This window comes from Homo sapiens, chromosome 14, assembly GCF_000001405.40.
Source record: "Homo sapiens chromosome 14, GRCh38.p14 Primary Assembly".
Taxonomy (NCBI): Eukaryota; Metazoa; Chordata; class Mammalia; order Primates; family Hominidae; genus Homo; species Homo sapiens.
Genome location: NC_000014.9, coordinates 46659359 through 46670045, shown reverse-complemented (window position 1 = coordinate 46670045; position 10687 = coordinate 46659359). Strand labels below are relative to the sequence as shown.

Sequence of the window (10687 nt, the reverse complement as noted above, 5' to 3'; positions counted from 1 at the left end):
GGAGATTTTTTTCCCTATTAAATGTATGTTGTTTGTATTTTCTTTGTAAAATAGCTCATATAGTTGTATTTTAAAATAAAAGGTATTACAGATAAAATATAGTCAACCTTGGTTACTACACTCTAGCCAGAATAATATTTTGACTTTGTTTTTTTTAGCTATCATAAACTTGTCCCGTCACCCTTGTCTCTACATAAATAAGCTATAGTTGTTGAGACTGTAGCTACTAGACCATATAGACTATGTGTGTTAGTTAAGGTTTTCCAGAGAAACACAACCAATGGAGCTATCTCTCTGTTGAGAGAGAGAGGAGGGGGAAGAGAAGAGAGGATAAGAAATCAGCTTATGCATTTATGAAGGCTGAGAAGTTTCAAGATCTGCAGTTGGCTAGCTGGAGACCCAGGAGAGCTGTTGGTGTAAGTTCCAGTTCAAAAGCCAGTAGGCTCAAGATCAAAAAAGAGCCAATGTTTCCATTATAGTTTGAGGCAGGAAAAGACTTATGTCTTAGTTCAAATGCTCTGGCAGGAGGAGTTCCTTCCTTACTCTTTGGAAGATTAATCTTTTTGTTCTATTCAGGCCGTCAACTGATTAGATAAGGATCACCACATTAGGAAGGAAAATCTGCTCCACTCATTATGTCAGTTCAAATATTCATCTCATCTTAAACACAAACACACCTGGAATAATATTTGACCAGGTATGTCAGCATCCCTTGTCCAGTCAAATTAACACGTACAATTAACTGTCACACTACATCTCATCTTATCTGAAGGAATAAGCTAATGAGAAATAAAGACTTCACTCCTGATATAATAGCATTTTGAAGATAGGATCAATGAGAGCATGATTGTAATGTGAAGCACAAACACTGCGGGAAGAGAGCAGCAATAAAACTCAGATCCTGGTGATAGAGTGCAGCTACTAAGACCCACCTTAAACATTTTAATCATGTGTCCATGATTTAAAACAACCACCATGACCACAAAAGGATCTAGAGGCAAAAGACTATCACTTTCTTTTCAATCAGGGGTTGCAAATATATACTGTTAGCCAAATCTATTTTGAACAAGATGAGCTAGCATTTGAAGATATCCCACCTCAGTACCAGGGGTGGAGACACATCAAAGCCATTGTTGTATTTTGTTTATCCACCCCACTACACAATGATGAAGCTTTCTCCTTATTAGTATTTAATTAGGTGCTAAGACTACTAACATAAGGTGAAGCATAGAGGTGGACTGGAGAGGACCCACAGAGGCTCTCTCAGCGCTGGTCGGCAAGTACAGAGGCCATTCTACAGCACTGGCTCATCTCCCAGCACTTGAGAGGTACCTACCAACCATTCACTCAGGACTGATGCACTGCAGAGGAGAATTTCCTTTTAAATCTACTCGTGTCTTACCTTACCTTTCAAAAAACCCCTTTTTTTAAAATATGGTAACATAAATATTACATTAATATATAAAATATATATAAAACATAACATGAATATATAAATGTTATAGCATTAAATATGCATATAAAGTGCACACCTGGTAAATGTAAAAAATTTTTCACCAACTGAACACACCCCTGTAAGGACATCCAGATTGAAAAACAGAACATTACCACCACCAGAAGTAGCCCATATGCCTCCTCCCAGTCATTAACTGCTCCTTGACAAAGGTCGCCACCATCCTGACTTCTAGATTGAAGATTAGTTTTGCCTATTTTTATACTTAAATAGGAGATATGTTAATTTATTAAGAACAACTTTTTTTAAAAGCAGTATTAAAAGATCGAACCTAGTGTTTTTAAACTGCTCTATATCATCGTTCTTTAACAAGTTCCTCAGCCCATATTTTTCCTTTTGCCTGTACACAGGCCTCTCATCTGTCTGGCTTAAGGTCCCTTTTACTTTGTACTCTGTCTTATCTCAATGACTTCCTTATCATTTACCTTAGAACAAGCCCACTGATGACCCAGCATCTTAACTCTGATTTGTGTCTTTCCTATTTCACTTGCCAGTTGCAAGCTCTGTGCTCCTATATTTCCCAAGTGTCCAGCTGAATCTCCCCAGTCAGTAAAAGTTATCCCACTAACAAGGTTAAAAATGACTTTTCTTCTGATTTGATTTTATATCTACTGAACTATTTATTATTTTTCCAGCACTGAGTCAAGGCAATATTGTTTTCGTACCCCTTTAACCTAATTTGAGTGACAGAAACTTTAACGATATGTAGAGAGTTTTGCTAATGTCTAACTAAACATAAATCACTTATTCCACATCTGATTAGTGTCTATAGAATATATTTATTAGTTATAATAATTAAAATGCTATGATTTGTTAATTACACACCAATATGACAAAATAGTAAATATAGCAATGTTTGGTGCCATAGAAAAGAAAGATCACACTATTATAATATTAGATTCAATTTTTAATAGATTGCCAAGGGAAAGGAATAACATTTGAAGAATAAGATAAAATAAATGTGAAAAGCATCCTGTATGTGGAAAGTTATGGTCAGATAATAACTTACTATGATTATTCATCCAATCTTTTCCTCCTCAGAAAGACTTAAGTGTAATGCCAAACATCTTGAGGGCATAAGACATGCCAGGCAAGACCAAGAGAAACAAGTAGAAGTAGTTTTCAATTCTCCATCAAAAGGTAATATATTAACTGTTCACAGTATCCAAGAAGACATGGAATCTACCTGAGTGCCCATCAGTGAATGAATGGATAAAGAAAAATGTGGTGAAAGATTATTCAACCATTAAAAGAATGGAATCCTTCCATTTGCAGCAACGTAGATGTAACTGGGGGTTATTACCATAAGTGACATAAGCCAAACACAGAAAGACAATAAGTGGGAGCTAAAACAGTCGATCTCATGGAAGTAGAGAGTGGCAGTTACCATAGGCTGAAAAGGGGTGGGTAATTAGGAAAAACTGCTTAATGGGTACAAAAATACAGTTGGAAGGAATAAGTTCTAGTGTTTGATAGTACACTAGGGTGACTATAGTTAACAATAATTTATTGTATATTTCAAAATAGCTAGAACTGGAATGTTTCCAACAGAAAGAAAAAATAGTTAAGGTGATGGACATTTCAATTACACTGATTTGATCATTACATGTTATTTACATGTACCAAAACATCACCTATACCACAAAAACATGTACAGCTATTTTGTATCATTAAAAAAAAGAGGTGATGTGAAATGGAAACAAATTAGCATGGGCTGCAGACCTTCAAGCCTGTCAAACAAAGAAAGTAATATTTATCTAGTTAAGGTAGTTACAGAAACTATAGAAAACACTCAAATAAGACATATGTTTGCTCTTTGAGAGCAAATAAAGGACAAGAAAATCTGACTTCCACTTTCTTCCTATTAGAGCTGCTAAAGCTTGTTAAATGTCTCCAACCTGAGGTTTCAGGAACTACCTGGATAAAAGTCACTATATGTGTGTGCCTCCACATCAGTCATTATTTAATATGTTGAGAGTCTAATTTTGTGCCTCACTGGTGATGGATATAAATATTTCTGTCTAAACTTTGTATTGTAAAGTGGAACTTATCCATTCCAGCAGATTGCAAGGCACTGGAAAAGACAAGTAAAGAAGGGCCACTGTGGAAACAGAAATTAAAAAACAAGTTTCCTGTCAGATATTAGCAGTATCTTAGAAGAAGAAATGAGGATGGCATTTGAATTTATAATTGAAACCTCTTCCGTAAGGTGTGTTTCACCATCTAAATTTAAGGAACTATTACTTTCCTCCAATTTTTTATATCTCTAATTGTGTACACCAATTAAATTATGATTATTATAGTGTCTTGAGTTTTTAGTTATCTTCTAATATGTACACATTTTATCTCCCAAATTAGATTTTCCCACATCTATTCCTGATTATGTCCCCCTACACATCTGGAAAATACTAGAGCAGAACTGAGCATTTGGCATTCAATAGATCTTCGTTCATTAAGTAATTGGATTCCTTTAATTCTATATAAAAATGTATACAGACTTCAATTTGATTCAGATATAGTAAACTGAAATGAAAAAAAAATTTTCCAACATTCAACTTTGGAAATTTTCCAAAATTTCAACTATTATGAAAATAGTTCTATTATGAAGACATATGTACAGTATTAATTTAGTAGCATTGGTCCTCTGCTCTTTCAAAAATTTAAAAGTTATCCTGCCTGTTGGATAATTAACAGGTGAGTAGCATACAAATCACAACCTAAGTTTTACCATAGCTTAAATCTTAATTAAAATTAGACTTTGTTTAAGAAATAGAGAAGAGAATACCAGTCAGAACACTGAGATTTAACAAGTTTGGAGCTGACAGATCCATGCAGCTGTAGTCAAGAGATAGTGTCTGATTCACTGTGCTACTGATTGGATGAGGAACTGCCACTGTTATAATTAGGAGAGGCTGTGTGAATCTTGATGTGTCAGACAAAGTGAAATCCTTTCTGTAAGTCACTTTCCAGGAGGATGAAACTATATCCATCACACAGTAAAGAAGAGTTGGGATTCCAACACTAGATCAATGTTGAAATTAAAAATTAATGTACTATAATATCCTGATCTCTACACATTTTAACTATATTGATATTATTTATCTACAGTAGCTAATTAACTACTTTATAATAATCATTTCAATTGATCATCTCATCCATGAAAATAATTTGTGCAATATACAAATGCTGCGATATTTAGCATATCAGGAATTATATCTTCTGGTAATGATGCTTCATGAAAAACACATGTCCTGAAATGCTTGGTTGGATTTTTGTTTTTCAAAATTAGTAAGAGTTGCATTTGAGAATTAGTTAAGAGTTGCTTAGGAGTACTGTTTCACACTATTCTAAATTAGTCATTAATAACCTATATCTTTAATATTTCATACTTATCTAAAGGATTATTCTTAGGTTTCAATTTATCCCCATTTTATTATTTTAAAAGTACCAAATAAAGCTGAAGTGTTAATGTGTATTTCTGGAAATAATGGGCTTGAACAAAATATGCATCATGCAGAGTTTTTCAAAATACTGTTTTTTTGTGAAATATATGCATTTTATTTGTATTAAATATAGCAAGGCAGAAAAGAAATGCAAAGCATCCAGTTCAGCTCCTACTGTGATATGCTATTAATAAAGGCTATCTGTACACCTTTTACATCGTTTCAACTGGCATAAATATAATAGCTAAAACTACTCCAAAGTACATTTTAAAACATTTCCAACTTATGCTACCATTTGGTTTATGTCTTTTAAAAATACATTAAAGGACAAACTCTAGTTAAATCTATACATGAAGTTAGCTAGGGTATGCTGATCAGTGTGAAAAGATGTATATGTAAGAAATATTTTCCCCCATTCTATGAGTTATCATTACATTTTCCTGCAGGTGTTGTTTGAAGCATTCAAGATTTTTTAAATTGATGCAGTCCAATTTTTCTATTTTTTTCCTTTGTCACTTTTCCTTTTGGTGCTGTATAAAAGGAATCATGAAGTTTTATTACAGTATTTTTTTCTAAGAGTCTTACATTTTTAGTTCTTATATTTAGGTCTATAATCCATTTTGAGTTAAATTTTTATGTGGTTTGAAGTTGAGGTCCAGCCTTGTCCTTTTTTGTATAGCTGTTGTCTCAGAGCCATTTGTTGAAATGACTGTTCTTTCTCCTTTTGAATTGCCTTGACACTTTTGTCAAAAATTGGCTGCCCATAAATAAAAGAGCTTACTTCAGAGCCCTCAATTATATTCAACTGGTGTGTGTGTGTGTGTGTGTGTGTGTGTGTGCACGCATGTGTGTTTATCCTTACTCCAGGACCACATTGTCTTGATTATTGTAACTTTTCAATAAGTTATGAAATTGAGAAGTGTCAGTCCTCCAACTTTGTTTGGCTTTTTCAAGACTTTAATGAATATTCTGGATCTCTTGCAGTTCTACACGAATTTAGGATCAGCTTAATTAACAATTTCCACCAAAAAAAAAAAGCAGCAATGATTTTGATAAAGCCTGTATTGAAATTTTAAATCAATTATCAATTTGGGGAGAATCATCATCTTGGGGCTCATGCCACTGTGGATTTGGGCACATTAGTCCTGACTTGCCCCACCTGGGTGGTCAGCAGTGGGTCTCTACCTGTATCCTCCAGGACCTCCCCACCCCTGCCCCTTAGGGATGAAGACTTGCAGGGGGAACATGCCAGCATCACAGAATTCAGTGCAGTTTACACATTTCCATTCCTTTCATCTCAGCAAAATGGGCACCACAGGACCTAGTTCTGATCATGCCACCATCCTGGACCACGTGACCGGAAGGTAGATAACCAAGTTTACCAGCAATAAAATCCTGGGCCCAGACAGCCTCCAACACCACAGCTTCCAGGCAGTGAGGGAGTCCCTGGTGCAGGGCAAGCCACAGCAACTGTTTTAGAGGCCATCCACAGCCAAGGCCGTTGAGACTCTGGACAATTTCCTGGGATGACCGCCAGCTTGAGTCTGCATGGTGCTGCTGAGACAGGGTGGAAGAGGGAGCTGGGTGGCCCTTACTTTCCTTTGCTTAAAGGTGGCCCTGACTTTCCTTTTCACAGAGTGGTTTCCTGAATGTGTAAATGTGAAAGTAAAATACAATTTAAAATATGTGCCTATATATATATATATATATATATATATATATATATATATATATATACACACACACATACATACACACACAGACACATAAATCCCTTCAGCCAAGAGTGGAAAGCATATTGGCTCAAAGCAATTAAGAAAATATCTGTCCAGTCATTCCAATCATTAGCAGATCTCTAAGCTAACTGAGCAGTATCTTTTAACCGGTACACACAACAGGGAATAAAACCTGGAAAGAATTACTCCAGAAATGCTATTAGTCAAATAAAGAGCAACAGTAGTAGCAACAATAACAATAACAACAAATGGGAAGACAGAGATCTGATTTCTTGAGCTGCCATATGATATTTAACCCATTTTTCTACTCAAATGTACGGGAACTCAAAGAAACAGGTATTATCCATAGATAGAAGAAAAAAAGAATGTATAGAAACTGTCCCAAAGGAAGTTCACATGTTGCCCTTATTAGACAAAGGCTTAAAATTAACTATTATAAATATCTTCAAAGACGAATAAAAATAATGTCTATAGAATTAAAGGAAGGTATGAGAATCACCAAAGAATACTGATAAAAAGTTCAAAATTATAAAAATAACCTCCAACTTCCAATAGGCCTCTTTACCGTGAAGATCAGAGGCTCACAACACTCTGGAGCCCCTCAGGCAGGGAACGTGCATTTCAAATCTTGACTTTACTCATACTGAAAGGCTGCACATGTTCCTTCTTCCCTGCCTTCTCTCTGTATGCTCCTTGAACCCGAGTGGAACAGTTTCTTCCTCTCTCTGCCGACAATTGCAAATTGAAATTCTCAGCCAAGGATGAAAGAAGTAAATTGTAGGCTTATCCAAGTAGCAATAATTCTGCAGGTCACAACTCCTGCACAAGGACACCTGCTCATTGCATAATTAATGTGAGGAAGTCTCTTCCAGTTAATCCCATGAACTAGGGAGGGCCTCAAGTCACCAAAACACACCAGGATGTGGCCGGGATTTACCTATATATTGAGGCATTCCTTCAATGTTCTCACAGTTTACAACTCTGTCTTAGGCTTTACTTTTACACAGGGACCCAAGGCCAGCCAAAGGCAAGAGATTAGAGCCTTCTCAGGATTTCTGGAGCATGTACACACCCCTTTACATGTGTGTGGTTTTTTATACCCCCAGAATTATGTCAGACCTCTTCAAAGCTCTTTATAGATATCTCATTCCCAAGAGCTTTCTTTTAAGTCTTTTGGCCAGTCTCGTTTTTCCCAATGGGTATTTCCACCTCAGGCAGCTGCAATACTAAACAATTGCTATTTATTGATTGTTTCCAACAAACAACTCAGTAATAGAGCTTTTCCCACTGAGCAAGCTCTGATTTAGATCAAATAACAACAGCCCTGTGTATGAGGTTTTACTGGGGTACCAACAAACAAGTCAAATTGTGACAATTCTCTGGAGATGGAGCTTTAGGAAAAGCTCCTTACCCAGTCAGCCCCCCTAGTGGTTGCTTGCCTGCTTTCACAGCAGCCATGGATCTGAAGAAAAGGAAATGGACATAGGGCAAGTTAACCACAAAGCTCACTGTCCTTGAGGAGAAGCAAGTTTTCTAGAATAAACGTTCCTTGGACTGCTGCAGGTCTTAGTTTAGTTTCCAGAGTATTGAAAAAGTTGATCTTAACAACTTTTGCCAGTGTTCTTACTGCCTTTATGGAGAAACAGATTTTCATAGGTCCTTTCTTCACCATTCCGTAAGTCTCCTCAGTGACTAACTTTTAACAAATAAAATGTGGTGGCAGTGATATTGCAAGCCTTCCAAGGCTAGGTCGCAAAAGGCAACATAAAAACTGTCTGGCTCCACTCTTGAGATGCCATCCCTTGAAATACACAAACAATGCTTCAAGGAAGCCCAGGACACATGGAGAGGCTAAGTGCAGAAAATTTTATTAACAGCACCTGGGGAGACCCCAGCCAAAAGCCAGAGGCAACTAAAGCTATGTATGTGAAAGGCCTTCAAGTTGTTTTCAGTCACCATCTGAAAAAACTGCGTGAAAAACTCCCGAGCAAGGACTTCCTAGCTGAACCTAATAAACTCTCAGAAACCTTAGTGATAATAGTAAAAAACTATTGCTTCATGTCACATAGTCACAGATTATTGACACAGATTTGGGATACTAGAGGTAGGATGCTATGGACCCAAATTTTAAATAGGTGGCAGTGTCTTTCAGATTCAGCAGTGGAAAAATATTGGAAGTACCTTGAGATCATTGATAAAATGCTGAAGGGACTTGAAAGGCTTTTGGTGAGCACCTAATAAAAAGTGAGAAAAATGTGATTGGAAATTAGAGAAAAGAAATCCGTTGTTACTTCCTGGCAGAAAGTTTAGCAATGTTGTGGCCTGTGGTAGCATAGAAAATAGAAAATGTGCTTAATGAACTGGATATCTGGCTAAAGAGATTTCAGGCAAAGTATTGAAAGTGCCACCTGGCTTCTTCTATTTGCATATAATAAAATGAAGAGAGAGATTAGCTAATGAACAGATGGTTGAATATAAAAGAGCCAAAATTTGCTGATTTCAAAATAAAACCGTTTTTCATTCCCAGATTATCCAAATGGCAAACAATTTTCAAATTCAGAAATAGCTTCCAGGCAAAGATCAAATCCAGAGCACTGTTAGGAAAACATTGTCTAAAAATAAAGTAAAAAAAACTATGACTTACATAGTGTGTGTGTGTGAGATTCTGTGTGTCTCAATATTGAGATCTTTATATCCATATACCTGTATGTGTGATTAAAATGTGTGTGTGTATATATATATATAATATATACATTTTAATCTTGCAGATATTTAAATACTTTATGATGTCACAAGTTTCCTTTACAGGTTCTGTTCTTTGTGTCTTGCTTCAGTAAGCCTTTCCCACTTCAAAAATATAATGACTTCCTGTGTCTTTTCTTCTAGTTGTTGCAGGAAGTCAGGGATCCCGAATGGAGGGACCGGCTGAAGCCCTGGCAGAAGAACATAAATTGTGAAGATTTCATGGACATTTATCAGTTTCCAAAATTAATACTTTTATAATTTCTTATGCCTGTCTTTACTGCAATCTTGGAACATAAATTGTGAGTATTTCATGGACATTTATCACTTCCCTAATAATGCTCTTATAATTTCTTATGCCTGTCTTTACTTTAATCTCTTAATCCTGTTATCTTCGTAAGCTGAGAATGTATGTCACCTCAGGACCACTATTGTACAAATTGATTGTAGAATATGTGTGTTTGAACAATATGAAATCTGATTGTAAAACATGTGTGTTTGAACAATATGAAATCAGTGCACCCCTAAAAAGAACAGAATAACAGCGATTTTCAGGGAAGATAACCATAAGGTCTGACTGCCTGCATGGTTGGGCAGAATAGAGCCATATCTTTCTTCTTGCAGAAAGCCTATAAATGGATGTGCAAGTAGAAGAGATATCACTGAATTCTTTTCCCAGCAAGGAATAACCCTGGAAAAGGAATACATTCCTGAGGGGAGGTCTATAGACGGCTGCTCTGGGAGTGTCTGTCTTATGCGGTTGAGATAAGGACTGAAATATGCCCTGGTCTCCTGCAGTACCCTCAGGCTTACTGGGATTGGGAAACTCCACCCTGGTAAATTCTAGTCAGACCGGTTCTCTGCTCTCGAACCCTGTTTCCTGTCAAGATGTTTATGAAAACAATACGTGCACAGCTGGACATAGATCCTCATCAGTAATTCTAATTTTGCCTTTGCCTTGTGATCTTTATGGCCCTTTGAAGCATGTGATCCTTGTGACCTACTCCCTGTTCATACACCCCCTCCCCTTTTAAAATCCCTAGTAAAACTTGCTGGTTTTGCATCTTGGGGTCATCATGATGGTCCCACCAATACATGATGTCACCCCCAGAGGCCCAGCTGTGAAATTCCTCTCTGTACTCTTTCTCTTTATTTATCAGACCAGCCAACACTTAGGGAAAATAGAAAGCACTTACGTTAAAATATTGGGGGCTGGTTCCCCCAATATCTAGTGTTTTATTTTATTTTAATGT

General features: G+C 36.5%; 1 long non-coding RNA gene across 4 annotated transcripts in view; it reads left to right on the top strand.

The window, feature by feature from the left end:
• Positions 1 to 9696: 9696 nt before the first annotated feature.
• LOC105370481 (uncharacterized) overlaps positions 9697 to 10687 on the top strand; it is a 64726-nt gene continuing 63735 nt past the window's right edge. For all 4 annotated transcript variants that reach the window (XR_001750753.1, XR_001750754.1, XR_001750755.1 and 1 more), the window contains exon 1: positions 9697 to 9736. This is a non-coding gene — a long non-coding RNA (uncharacterized LOC105370481). The remainder of the gene's footprint in view (positions 9737 to 10687) is intronic.